The 14,852-nt window shown below is 48.2% G+C and overlaps 1 protein-coding gene across 10 annotated transcripts in view; it reads right to left on the bottom strand.

Annotated features, from left to right (window-relative positions):
* Positions 1 to 14,852, bottom strand: part of WDFY4 (WDFY family member 4) — a 298,084-nt gene that overhangs the window by 91,424 nt on the left and 191,808 nt on the right. For 9 of the 10 annotated variants that reach the window (XM_011539988.3, NM_001394531.1, XM_017016463.2 and 6 more), the window contains 2 exons: positions 14,334 to 14,500; positions 806 to 954 (listed from right to left, as the gene is read on the bottom strand). In XM_011539988.3, coding sequence (XP_011538290.1) covers positions 806 to 954; positions 14,334 to 14,500 — 316 coding nt within the window. Of the gene's footprint in view, positions 1 to 805; positions 955 to 12,533; positions 13,535 to 14,333; positions 14,501 to 14,852 lie in introns of those variants that run through there. The other variant, XM_011539990.4, reaches the window with a different exon arrangement.

Below are 14,852 nucleotides of genomic sequence, written 5' to 3'. Positions count from 1 at the left end.
TGCACGAAGAACTCTTCATCCAAATATCTTCAAAGACAATGATCAAGTGAAAACATACACTTGACAACTGGACTTTTGGCAAAAGCTCAGTCAATTTGATTTTGAATGGCCTTACTTCATAAACACAGGAGAATTGCACAATAAGGGCTGACTGTACCCAAATAGACCAACTGCACTTGATCCTAAAGAACTTGGCATTTCCTGCCAAAGGTCTCTTGTATTTGCTTGTGTAAAAATGACTTCAAGTTTCTTCCCAAGTCTCACCCATTCTGCAAAACCCAGATCTTGATCCCTTCCTCAGGTAGCTCTTCCCCACCACTCCAGTCCCAGGCCATCCCTCCAAGCCTGAACCCTGAAGATTTTGTCCCACGACCATAGTGTGTGGCCAACAGTTTCTGAAAGAACCTGTGCATGCTGCCGATTGCATTAAGTCCCTCGGAAGAGAGGGGCGGTGCCTGTTTTCTCACGCAGAATGAGCAACTAACATGTCGTTGAGTGAGTAAGTTGACGGCGACTGAATTCAGCCATGCGAATAATTGAAGGACTGATCCCTGAGTCCTGACATTCCACATTAGGGGAGATGTGAGGAGCTGCCACATTAGTACCCAGTCCTGATCACTGCTTAGGGGAACCATGGCCATGGATGGCCTATGCCTGCAGGTCCTTCTGTTTTATCTCATGGCTCAGTTTCAGGCCCAAATCTAAGCCCACTGTAAGAACAAGGTGAGAAGGGGAATAGTGGGGGCGGCTGGTAAGGATGAATGGGGCTCAGGGAAGAATCTGCTGGGAGAAGTGGATAACTCACTTGGATAAGCAGTGACGGGTACAGTAGACATCACCCGTGGGAGACAGTGTGAAGTTCTCGCAGATGTAGAAGTGTTGGTGGCCAAAAAGCAGGACCCCTTCTGACACCAGGTGGCCCTGCACAATCACCAGGGAGAACTTCTGCGTCACCTGGAAGGAGAGAGTGGCAGAGTCAGGTGGTGCACAGGAAGCATGCCCATGATTCTTGGGGGAAACAGGAGGGTAGTGACCAGCCATCCATGGGGCAATTGGAGGTGAGAGCAGTGCCTTGTATGAATGGCAGTCCCGCTGTCCCAGGACTGTACTGCTCTTCACAGCCTATGTGGCACTACCACACCCCACCTGGGCTGGTGTCTGATCTACTCAAGCCTACCTCTGCTCCCACCAAGATGTGTGGGTGAGTGTTTACTGCTATATTCAGCACATCAAAGTCCTTTCTCTCACTTTAAGGCCCTCTACAACCATGCAAAGCATCCCACAGTTAACTGTGAGGAAAGTTCACCAGGTACAAGACATCGCTCAGTTACAGAGGAGAGGGAGCTTGTCCAGGGACCAGCCAGTACATGGTTGAGCCAGGACTAGAATTCAAATGTGCCTAGAACCACAAGTGCAAGACAGGTACTGCCATCTCTGCAAGGCCAAGGAAACATGTGCAGAAGATGCACGGTGCTCTGCCCAGATCCTTCCTCTTGGACCGAGGTGAGCATTTCCCCTGTTGCTGGAAATGCTGGCAGTTCTCCAGAATTGCCTTAGCTGAATACAGCCCCTGGTCCAAGGTCACATCCTCTTCCCAGGGGCAGTCTGTACCCAACAACTGGACAATGTGGAGTAGGAAGGCTTAGCCCCTCTGGCTCAATTCAAGAAAACTCTAAACAACCATCCCAAACCTAGAGCTGCTCTGGAATCAGCTGAAGTCTTTGCTGAGACTACATTGTGGTTGCACTTCTCCGCTGGCCCAGCCCTGCAATCCTCATTCCCAATCAACTTTCTCCGTGCAGAACCTGACCCATGACAATATCTTGGTATGACCCAGAGTTCTGCATGTGGTAAGGATCAAGTGGGTCCTTACATAGTAAACCCTAAAGGAACAAGTGAGTGAATCAATAAATTCTAGAACATGAGAGCCTAAAGGGACCAAGAATAAGGCCGAGGCCAGCATTTTCTCATGGTAATTTTGTGCTAATTCCAGTTATACAAAAGCAGAATAGATATGTTTGGGAGAAAAAAAATAAAAGAGGTTCCAGGAGATAAGACTCTCACTAAAGATCAGCCACCTACTAAGTGACACAGCCTGGGACTGAAGCAAAGCTCCCTGCTCACCTTTGGGAGCAATGACAAGGCCACAGTGGTGCCCTGAAGACCAGTTTTCCAACTCCTGCACCAAATGGGATCCGTGAAAGCCAGAGCCAAGGGCAGAAAGCAAAGGTTCACTGAGCATTTTGTTCCAAGATAAGTATTAACCACTATGATCCAGGGCAAGTCAGGGCTGAGCTGTTTTTCGTAAGCTAGGACCAGCCGAGAGCCTCTGTTTCTGTAAACAAGGTTGGTGAAGGTAGCTGGCTTTCTTGGTCTATTCTGAATCTACCTTGTCAGAGGAGCTGGCCCTCCAGCCACCTTCCAGGCCAGAGTCCAAAGTGGACTCATTTCCAATTTTATTCATTCATCCAGGTGGTCATCTATTCAGCAGTTACGGATTCAGCCTCTGCTCCATGGCAGGCACTGAGCCAGGCTTTGGGGATAAGGTGGACAAGATATACAAGAATCCTAGCCTCACAGGGCTTAAAATCCAGTAGCGGGATTTTAACCAACCAACTATTACAACCTGTGATACATGCTAAGAGAGAAAAACCAGAGTGATCATGACAAAGGCAGGGAGAAACTTGGCGAGAACACCATTCTGTTCTTGGACATTATTCTTGGTGAGGACATAGACCCTGAAACTTGAAGGTTGGAAACTTGTAAGTTCTGGAAAAGCTTGGAGAAGAACATTTCAAGGAACGGGGACATCCAGTTAAGGGCCTAGAGGCAGGAAGGGCTGATTTGGGGAACAGAAAGTGGTCAGTACGGCTAAGATGAAGTTGGAAATTAGGAGTACCAACATCATAGGTGGTCTTAGGTACCTTAGCATGGCCCTTGGGTTTTATTGTGGTTGCAACAGAAAGCCATGGGAGAGTTTGTTTCCAAAAGATGACACTGACTGCTGGGTGGAGATGGCATTAGAAAGGGTCAAGACTGAAAGGAGGGTGCCCCGTTGTGTTGCTATTTCAGTGGTCTGGGATGGATGGCAGAATGCAGAGGGAAGGAAGTGGGTGTATCTAAACAAGAAGATGGAGAATTGACAGGAGCTGCTACTGGACTAACTGGAAAGCAAAAAGAAGAAAAAGAAAAGAAAAGGAAAGGGAAAGAAGGAAGAAAGGAAGGAAGGAAGGAAAGAGGGAGGGAGGGGGAGGGGAGAGGAAAGGAGGGGAGGGGAGGGGAGGAGACGGAGGATGAATTGAGGATAAATGATAAATGTCTACTTTGGGACTTGAGTAACTGTGTGGCATTCCCAGGTTCTCTAGTAGTCTTCCCCAGGGGCAACCACCATTACCACTTTATTGGATATTCTTCCAAAGAGATTGTATGAATACATTAGCATGTTTATACATATTCTTTTTTACACAAAGAACATTTATATGCTTACTGCTCTGCATCTAGACTTTTCTCTTAACAATTCATCTTAGATAATTTTCCAAATCATTTATCATAGAGCTGTCTAATTCTTATTAATAGTTGCAGACTATTCCCTTGAATGGATATGCTACAGTTTATTTGACCAGTCAGTCCTTTTTTGATTCAGGTGGCTTTCAAATGTTTTGACATAACAGGCAATGCTACAATGACCATCCTTGCAGATAAGTCATTTTGAATACACAAGTAAATCTGAAGCATAAATTTTTTTTTTTTTTTTGAGATGGAGTCTCGCTCTGTTGCCCAGGCTGGAGTGCAGTGGCGAGATCTCCACTCACTGCAAGCTCCGCCTCCTGGGTTCATGCCATTCTCCTGCCTCAGTCTCCTGAGCAGCTGGGACTACAGGCACCCACCACCACGCCCGGCTAATTTTTTGTATTTTTTAGTAAAGATGGGGTTTCACCGTGTTAGCCAGGATGGTCTTGATCTCCTGACCTCGTGATCCGCCCGTCTTGGCCTCCCAAAGTGCTGGGATTACGGGCGTGAGCCACCGCGCCTGGCCTGAAGCATAAATTTCTATAAGCAGAATTGCAGGTCAAGGGTATGGGCATTTTTAATTCAAGTAGCCATTGCCAGATTACCCTCCCACAAGGTGACACTAATTTACACTCCCACCAGGACTATCAGGAAGATTATGTCAGGCTGCTTAAACTTTTTCTCTTATTGTACCTTTTCCCAGATGAGACTCAGAGACCCCAACCTCAGGTTCACATGATGAGATGATGTGGCTCTGCAATGCCAGCCCTGGCCTATGTGCCTCCAAACCCTCTCTCCTCCCTGTGACACCAGGCCCCCACCACAGCCTCCATGGTGCCTGCACCAGGGTCTCAGAGCACATGCCTATGATCTGGTGCTTCCCTTTGGGAAGACTTAAGTATCAACCAGAATAAGCCAAACCACAAGAAAAATGTCTGGTGAGAGCTGGGTTAATAGCTTAAACATTGATTCTGCTAGAAAAGAAATGGCATTTTAAAAACTAGAAAATGAACCCAAGTGAACTATTACCTGCTCTTCCATTTAAATTAGCCCTAGGAGGGCTCCATCCCTAAGTTTACTCATGATTAAGAAATCCCTTATGCCATGATTCTATTGATCACTTTAAAGAGTAGAACTTTTGCCTCATAAGTAGAGCTTTTTTAAGATCAACTGAATGATATATTAGCACTCTTGATGGGTAAAATAACTAAGAAAGTAGCCACAGCTAGCTCTGTGTATGATGACAAACAGGTTGTCCAGAAATCAACAAAATGCTGGAGCGAAAGTTAGAAGGTGTCTTAGTCCATTATCTGCTGCTATAACAGAATACCCCAGACTGGGTAATTTATAGAGATAAATGTTTATTTGGCTATTGGTTCTGGTGGACAGGAAGTCCCAGAGCATGGCACTGGCATCTAGTGAGGGTCACCCCATGATGGAAGGGCGGAAGCTGGAAGTGAGCATGCAAGACAGAGACAGAAATGGGGCTGAACTTATCCTTTTTATCAGGATCCCACTCCCATAATAATGAACCCATTCCTGCAATAATGGCATTAATCTATTCATGAGGGTCATGCTCTCATGGCCTAATCACTTCTTAAAGACCCCATCTCTTAATACTGTTACAATGGCAATTAAGTTTCCAACACAAGAATTTTGGGGGACATTCAAACCATAGCAGGGAGACAACAATCTACTGGGACATTCAGTGGTAGCACACAGCAGCACATTCTTCTAAAGTCAGGCCTCAGTGGTACATCTATAATGGGCAAGGTCAACCGGATACTCTCTAAAGTTTTCTCTAGCATTAGCAGTCTGCAACTTGGTGAAATACCCTGATTTTATAGGTAGGAAAACTGAGGTCCAGAGAGGTGACTGAAGGTACCCAGCAACAGAGCTGCCAATATATGCATTCCCTTACGTTTGTGTGTACGGTGAGTGAGTCTGCTGCAAAGAAAGCTTTAGCCCTGCTCCCATTTATCATCTGCCCTCTTCCTACATCTCTGCTTGCCTCAACCTTGTTCTGAATACATTCTAATAGTATTGGCATATGGAATAAGTATTCTTATTTTTTAGAAAAGCACAGATTGCTGAGAAAAAGTCAAGTATCAAAGAGGCAAAAGGCTATATTTGGTCATCTATGAGCTCTAGTATCTACTTTTTTCTATCTTAAATGTATTTAGACAGAGAATTCGTCATACTAATAATCAAAGGAATGTATGTTAAAACAATAAGGAGATGCTATCTATCTATTTATCTATCTATCTACCTATCTATCTATATATATAGAGAGAGAGAGAGAGAGAGAACATCTCCTTATTGTTTTATATTTTACATATATACACATATATATTAATTTGGGAAATATAGAAAGGAATGTAATGATGCATCGATCTTTTCACGTAAGTACATCTCAGGTTGAGACAAGGAGCAGGGATGCCCCCTGCCTGCCTGCATGTGTCACTTCCACAGACAGCCTGCAGACAGCCACACCTCCAATCTTTCTCTGCAGACATGGAGAAGACCAGGTGGAAATGGCAATACCTTTGCTCTTGTTTGGTTGCACCAGTGAAATGTGAAACATGTTACAAGACCCAAGGACTGTTCAAAGCACAATGCTCACCATAACCTGTGTTCACTAAGGACTGATCATTGGCAACTGCTTAAAATTGGAGCGCATTTTTAGCCAGGGTAGCTCTGAATATTGTAAAACTTGGACTCATGGATTTGGGGCATTTATTTGAAAAGTTAGTATGTATGAGAATCACCTGCACAGCTTGATAAAATTCATATTCCCAGGCTACATCCCCAGAAGTTTCAATTCAACAGGTGCAAAGTAGGGCCCTAGAATGTGAATTTTATTAAGCAACCCAGAAGATTCTGATGCAGGTGATCTGAAGCCCATACACTAAGAAACCGACCGTTGGGCACCAGCTAGGCTAAGAAAAAAAAAAGGTTTCATCTGGTGTCAGCATATTGCCCATAATTCACTCATCTATTTGTTCATTCATTTATTTAACAGGTACATATTAAATGTTTAGCATATGCCCCACTCCCTGGGAGGCACAAAGGAAAATAAGACATGCCTTTAAGATGTTTACAACCTAACAGGAAAGAAAGAGAGCAGGATATCAGCTCTCCCAGCAGTGTGGAAGGAAAAGCACAGGTGCTCTGGGAGCACACAGGAGTGTGTCTCACTCAGACTGAGATGGAAGAGGCGGCAGCGGTGACACCAGAGAAACGGTTCCTGAGGAGGTGACTCCAAGTCTGGAGTTAGGAGTTACAAAGATAAAAAAACAGGGGAGGAGCATTCCAAGGCACAAAGTATTGAACCAGCCGGAAATTTTGGAAATTATAGGTAGTTCTGTATAATTAAAAAGTCAGAGGGGTGTGTATGTGTGTGTGTGCACGTGCACACATGTGTATGTGTATGCATATGTGTACACGCATCAGGTGTGCATGTGTGTGTGCATGTGTGTATGCACACATGTATGTGTGTGCATGTGGTTGCACATGTGTGTCTGTGCATGCATGTGTGTGTGTTTATGCGCATGTGTAAGGATAAGGGAAGTTAGTCCAGGGAAACTACAAGGCCAGCTCTGGAATGGCCTTGCATATGAAGAATGCTAACCAGCGTCTCAGAAATATTAAGTAGGAATGACATGTGTTGTTTTCATTTCAGAAAGTCATGGAGATTCAGAAAGACAGGAAGTTACTGCATATAAAGGTTAACACCCACCCTCACCTTCTACAAACAGCCTCAGCTAAAGATACCTGGGAGGAGCTTGTAGAAGATGCCACTCTCTGCAATCCAGAGGAAAATGTCTTTCCCTTTGAGCGGATCATTTCTACCAAGGTCAAACTCATATTTTACATTGAGTTTGTATGAAAAAAAAATCAGATGTTTAATTTTTCATGTAATCAAAGAACAATAACAAAAGCAAACCTTCACTTGAGGACTGACTCTGGACTGGTTCTGGAAGCTGTACAAGGGACATCCCCAGCCACGTGGTAACTGGCATGAGCCCACAATTAATATGCATTAAATCAGTCACTCCTCAAGTCAAACAGAGCTGTTTGCAGAGAAATGCGTTTGTAGTCCTGGGAATCATTAATCAATGATGCAGAGGTGGCACAGAATAGTTGAATAATTACCATCCCAGGTATCACTAGAGGCAACCAGAACTCCAACGTTCACACAAAGAAATGAGTTAAGCTGCTGCCACCCTAGCCCCGGCACCACCAGCATCCCCCAGGGCCAGGATGATGCCTGCAGCTCCAGAGGCTTCTGCCAGAGGCATGCCACCCAGATGCCTGAAAAGCAGTCATGCCCTGGAAAGTCTCCTGTGCCATGTGTCCAGCAAAGGCCATATGATCAAGCATTTCTGAGACGGTAGGGGAGGAGGAGTGGGGACTCTGTTGTAGGAGCATGCACACAGTCCTGCCATGCCCCTATCGTGGGCATGTTTCGCTTAGAAATTTAGAAAAAGTACAAGGCCCACAAAGTCTCACAATGACATCTGAATTACGGGAAGTCCCAGCTTACAACCAACACTTGCTAAAAAATGCCTCAACATAGGCTAATTGTACCAGCCTGGGGAATGTAGAGAGTAACACACACACACACACACACCCCTTGCACAAACTTTCTATTTGCCTGAACATGTTCACGGGTCAACAATCAATGCACCCATCCTCCTTTCCTTGGCCTCAAGTTCCTGTCCTTGACACAAAACCATAGTGGTCCAGGGATAAGGCCACAGTGGACCAGGGGCCCTCCAGGCACATGCAGGAGGGCAGGTAGGCACCTGCTTGGCATGTTGCATCCCAGGCAGAGATGCCATGTTGGTGAGAGACCTGAAGGCCTCCTTGCACCAGCTTTAACTGGAACAGTTATAGAGAAAGAACATGGGGCCAGGAGCCACAACTCCAAGCCCAATAACAGCCGGCTGCTGAGGGACAGGGTGCTGGAAAGGTTATGTAACTTGTCCAACACAGTGAGCTGGGAGGCAGTAGAGAGGGAACGAAAACACATGAACTGAGAATAAGAGAGATCTGAGGTCAAATCCTAGCAATTCCAGTGAGTAGCCACCCTGGGCTCTGTTTTTGCCATCTTTGCAATGGAAATAACAAAGCCTCCTGATACAGTCTGGATGTTTTGTTCCAAATCTCATGTGGCCTTAAGTGTTGGAAGTGTGGGCTAGAGGGAGCTGTTTGAATGATGGGGGCAGATCCCTTGTAAATGTCTTGGTGCTGTCCTTGCTGTAATGAATGAGTTCTCCGAGAGTTCAGCTGAGATCTGGTTATTTGAAAGAGCCTGGCCCCTCCTCCCTCTCTCTCTTGCTGCCTCTCTCACTATGTGATGCGCTGGCTCCCATTCACCTTCCACCATGACTGGAAGCTTCCTGAGGCCTCACCAAAAGCAGATGTCAGCACCACGTTTTGTGTACACCCTGCGGACTGTGAGCCAACTAAACCTCTTTTCATTATAAATTACCCCATCTCAGGAATTCCTTTATAGCAACTCAAATGGACTAACACACCTGCCTCACAGGACCATGGTGAGGCTGAATGAGACAGTGCATGAAGATCACACAAGGCAAGGGCTTCTGACATCTAGCTGTTGACATTTTGCTAATAATAATATTAATAGCAACAAACAAATAGCAGAATGAGGTTCTCAAACCAGCCTATGCACTTTGCCCTGTGCCAAGCTGCCCTCCTGGGCACAAATGACTGGCTGCTCCCTCCATGGTGGTGGTGTTGTGGCAGCCTGCTCCAGTCCAGTCAAGACCCTCCCCACCCCAGAGCAGGCTCCCCCAAGACCCAGGTTCCCCCAGGGCATGCCCTCCCTCAAGCTGGGTCCTAAGGCATGTGAGCAGACCCAGGCCTGGCTGCAGGTTGGCTCCCCTGGAGGACCTCCTGATTCCTGCTGCCCTGTCAGGCTGAGCTCACCTGGTCTGCAGATTGTTCCCAAGCACTCACCCTATGTATCAGGGAAGGAAGGGACGAGGAGGAAGCTAAGTCTCTCCTTGCCTTCAGAGAAACCATAGGAAGGCTCAGAAATCATCAGTCAGGCAATAAGAGGGGGCTGGGGTAGGCCCAGGGGATGGATCCACCAGCTATGCTCTGGGGTGGGAGTATGCTGGGGATGGGCGCACCAGGACAGGTTCACCCAGGAGGCCGCCAGGCTGGGAGACAAGAGTGAATGGGCATGGGACTGTGTGGACCTGGCTGGTGGAGGTGTGAGGGGGAGGAGAAGTGCCAGGCCACAGAGAGGCCCCATATGTCCCACCAGCCAGCCAGGACCCCACTCCACAGAGCTCTCCAGTCTAGAGCAGAAGGGTGCTCCTCTGGTTCGAGGATTTTTCTGATTCATGTGAATTCCTGGGGCCTGCTTTCTTATGTTCTTCCCTGCCTGGTGCTTTCAGTTTAGGGACCTCCTTGATTTCACCACACATCAGTCCAGGCCTCAACCCAGCAACTTCCCTCTTTTTCCCAAAACCTTGTGTTTGGTTTGAGTGTTGGCACTCTGCAGGAACCCCATTCCAGCTGGTCAGGCCTCTCATGGGCTCCACTGTGACCCTCTGTCTCATCCTCCACCATCTCGGCAGGACAACCAGACCCATGGAGACCCCCAGAGTTTCCCATCTATCCAAGCACTCCCCACAGCATTTCCCCAAGACACACAGTTCCTTGCCTCACAGGAGCCTCAGTCTTAACAGGATCCTTCATCCTTCCCTTGACACGGCCCTTGGGCCATGCCATAGGTACCAGGGTTCTTCCAACGCCCCTTCTTACTTCTGGGAGAGTGAGAACAAATCCTATGGGGCTATGAAAGGAACAGCAACAGCCAGAGCAGTAACAGCAGATGCCAGAGACTGAGAGCTGCCTCCTCACAGGGCACAGTCTCAGACAGAGACACAGCCCCATGTCAATCTTTGCCACAAACCAGTGAGACCAGGAGTAGAACCCCATTCTAAAGATAACAGAAAGGAGGCTGGGGAATGGTTCTCTTACTTACCTGGTCACTAGGCCTGTAAGTGGAGGCAAGAGAATTAGAATTGGGCAGGGTTTTTACCCCACCCCTGCCTGTAGCCTCCACCCTCCCCTCACCAGGGACCCTGCCCTGCCCCCACCTCCCCGGGCCTGCATCTCCAGAAGCAGGCGTGCCTGGTGGTTTGGCTTCACTGACCCTGGGGAAACTGAGCTTGGGAGCCAGCCTTTCCCACAATTCCCCATGAAGCCAGAGGCAGCAAGCATAGCCCCATAAAATGCATAGAGACATCTCAGGCAAGGACGGATGCCTAGATAATGGCAAGGGTCACTCTGCCCAGTCCTCTGGGCCAGGAGCCGAACCTCACACAGGGTCCCTCCCTTCTGAATGTACTGGCCACCGGGTGCCAAGTGGAAGCAGGACAGCTCCTGCTCTTTCCCCTCCCGACCGCCCACCGGGTTCCACATGCTCCTGTCTGCACATCCTGCGGATCCCCACTGGCACAGCAAACAGTGTGTGGCATTTCTGACAGCTTCCCGCTGAGCCACGGGAAGGCCAAGGAAGACTGAAACTTAAACAAAAGGCAGGGAGGGGCAGATGGGAGAGGATCCCCTTCCTGGTTCTGTCCTGCTTCAGAGGCTGGAAAGTCAGTCACCTGGGGGCTTCAGACTCTTGCCGCTCCCCCAGCAAGATCCCTGAGGAAAATGTCACCTGGTGGACAGTCAACAAAAACAAGACTCTCAGAGACAGGACAAGTGTCAAAGGCACCTGCAGGCTGCAAGAGGCGGGGCTGGGACTCACTCGGGTCCCTGACCATAAACTTCAGCCTAGCCAGGGTGAAAACTCCCAGGCCAGCCTTGGATGCCTGAGGGAGTCAGGCCACCTACAAAGGCTCTCCTAGGAGGCCAAGGACCTGCCCTGGGGGGCAGCAGCCTGAGTGGTGCTCATATTCCAGAGAAGCCCCCAGGAGGCTGTCCCATCCAACACCCACACTGCTCTGAAGGGACTTTGCAGATAAAATCAAGGTTACGAATCAGCTGACCTTAAAACAGGGATGTGACCCTGGATTATGTGTGAGTTAGTGCCATCCCCTGCGCCCTAGGCAGCAGCAGAGTTGGTCAGAGAGGTGGTGTTGGGGGAGCGGGAGGCAGAGGGGGCAAGAAGGATATGAAGGGTGAGAAGGGTACCACCCACTGCAGGAAATGAAAGGAGGAAGGGCCACAGGGTAAGGGAGGTGGGCACCCCAAGAAACAGATGAACCCTGGCAGCCAGCAGGCAGGGAACAGGAGCTCAGACCTACAGAAGCAGGAACGTGGATTCTGCCAGCACTGGAACGAGCTTGGAAAGGATGCCTTCTCAGAGGCTCTGGAAAGACATGAGGCCCCACAAATGCCTTGGCTGCAGCCATCTGAGGCTCTAGCAGAGAATCTGCTGAGCCCCACTGTGCCAAGACTTTCGAGATAATAAATGTGCATTGCGTTAAAATCACTATGTTTGTGGTAATTTCTTCTGGCAGAGATAGAAAGCGAATATAAAGCACTGCCATTGTTCTCCTATTAAAGCAATGAAAAGAACCAATATGGAGACACCACATAATCAGGAAAGCAGGCAGGTGTAGCTGGAGCATGATATCTGTTTACTATGGATCCTTTCTGACACAGTTCTCAGACTTGCCACCATAGACAACGTAGGGTGCCCAGCAGTAGCCCTGGCCTCTGCCCACTAGACACCAGGAGCATCCTCTCGCCCTGGCCATGGCAATTAAAAATGTCTCCAGACATTGGCAAGGGTTCCTTGTGGGGTAGAGTTGCCCCCAGTTGAGAACGGCTGCTCCTTTAAGGGCATAAAGCAAAGAAAAGTTTTTAAGGAAAGAAAGCATTGACGTCTTAGCTGTTTTTTCAATGGACAAGGTATTTACTAAATATCCACTTACCTATATGAGCATATTAATATATTGATATATCCCAACTGTTATGATCTGCCGTTAGTCCTCAGCAACTGGATATTATGAATATACACTTATGCATACATGTGTTATATATTTTAATATCCATTTATCAAAATTTCACATAGTAGATATATGATACTTCCATTATCAAAATAAAATGCACATGAATTTAGCACGTCATTCATCAGTGTTGACTGACTGGCTGCTTCAGGCATGCCTGTGGTTAGACAACAGGGTTTCCTCCTGTATGGAGGATCCATAGTGACAGAGGTGGACAGGTGAAGCGCTGAGGTCACTCTGCGTGCCAGCAGCAAGGCAGGAGGTGATGCAGGGGGCGACACAGACAGTAACAAGCTAGTTCTCCAGCCAGTTCTCCAGGTCTCAGAGCAGGGAGCAGTCAAGATCAGCTTCAGAGAGTCAGTTGCAGGGGTCAAGTGGGCAGGGCACTGCAGGTAGGCAAACCTGCATGAGGAGGCATGATGGCTAGGTGTGTTGGAGCACATGATGGAAATGTGCTCTGTGTCTGGAAGCTTTGGTTATGCAGGTATAAGGACAGCATTGTTACAGGACTACATTGCTTGAACTGTGACCCAAATCTGAAAACAGCAAAGCAATTTGCTGAAAGTTCTGCAGCAAGTTCATAAGCAATTCATTTGCTTATGCCCCTCCCAGGTTCTCTGAGCCTAGGACCTATTCCTGGAGGTCCAGGCTCTCCCTCAGTCCCTGGGTCTTGGTTCAGATCCACTCCCATTCACCCTGGGGCCAGACTAGCCTCCAGCTCTCGTGCATTTATCTCTGTGTGTCCCCTGTGGCGCACCAGTCCCAGCCTGCCTGCTCCTCTGTGGGTATCTCCTTCACTTATATCCCTATGGAAAAGCCCGATTCACCCAGAGACCCTGAGATCCACCAAGCCTTCAACCACCCAACCCTCAGAAAGGGAAAACAACTCACCTTTGATGAGCACCTCTCTTATGCCCAGCTCTGAAGTAGTCCCTGTACTTCCATTGGCCCATTTAAGCCTGAGCAGAATGTTATCAGATGGTGGCCAGAACTCCACATTAAAGATGAGAAAACTGAGGCTGACAACGGTTAGGTGACATGCGGTTTAATATGTGGCCAAGTTGGGACTAGAACTGAGGTCGGTTCTACTCTAAGACATGTGCTTCATCTTCCATTGCATTCTTAGACTTGGGGAAGAGGGGTCCTTCTCTGGGACCTCCCCAGCCAGGCCAAGAGGACACACACACGAAGAGTGGGGCTCCGCCAACCCAGCTCCAGGCACCCAGGACCCCGGGTTTCCCTGCCACCTGGTCCCCAGCCTGCCTCCTGGGCCTGTACACTTCATCCCCAGAGCCACCCTTTTGAAGGCTAATGGTGCCACAAGTGTGCTTACCCCTAGGCTTGAGTGGTGGCCAAGGTGAGGCCGAGGCATAGGGACAGTGCGGATATATGGGTTGGGGTGTCCAAACACATGCACCCAAGACCCCTCAAGGTGTGGGACCTCTCAGGGTGGTCAGGCCACAAACAGGGGGCCAAGATGCTGAACTGCCAGAAGATCAAGAATTCTCAACTTGAAACTTGCCTTTCAGGTTGTTATGAAGGTCAAAGTAGGAAGTTAGAGTATTTTTCACTTAACAGTTTGTGGTACACCTATTAAATATTTTGATGCAGGATGTATAGACTTCCCTTTGCACTCTTTCTCTGGGCCAACAAATTTAGGAATCTATCCCTTTTTTCACTGATTATTGTGTTGAAAGTTTTCATAGCAAATGGAGATCTCATTCCCCATGTAAGTGGCGAAAGCTTGGTTTTCTCCTGTCTGACAATCTTAACAACTAACTTAAAAATCTTAAAGGCTATTGCAATGGGGTATATTACCTTTTCTTTATCAAGAAGCTCTTGTAAAATAACTTGTCTTTCCCGACACAGTTCCAAGAAGTCTTCTGAGTGCAGACTTTCGTGTAAGGCTGGGAAGAAGGTCAGCTGGGTGCAGTCCACCCCCACCTCGTCCGGCTCGCCCTCAGCCTCCCTCAGTGTCAGTTCATCTGCAGCAGCATAAAGGGACACGTGGTGTTGACAGGAGCCACCTGACATGGTAAGGGCCGGTGCACAGCATGTGCCTACATCACCAAGGAGCAGCAAGGCTCCAGGGCCGAAGTGAAGAGCGTGGATCTCTCACTGTGCCCCTCCACTGCTTCTGGAAATGGACACCACACATCTGGGGCACCCTGGGGTGTGGTCAAAATACCTTCCAGTTGACTTATCCTGGAGGGCCCAGATATGCCCAGGCCTAGCTGTTCAGCCACTTCCAGTGACCACAGGGCAACATTTCCAAATTCACCCTCGTTAGTCAGTAAAGCAACTCCTCAGAGGCCCAGCTAGGATTTGCTTTCTCTG

Source organism: Homo sapiens, chromosome 10 (assembly GCF_000001405.40).
Source record: "Homo sapiens chromosome 10, GRCh38.p14 Primary Assembly".
NCBI lineage: Eukaryota > Metazoa > Chordata > Mammalia > Primates > Hominidae > Homo > Homo sapiens.
Note: the sequence above shows the minus strand (reverse complement) of the source record. Positions and strands in the feature narration are given on the sequence as shown.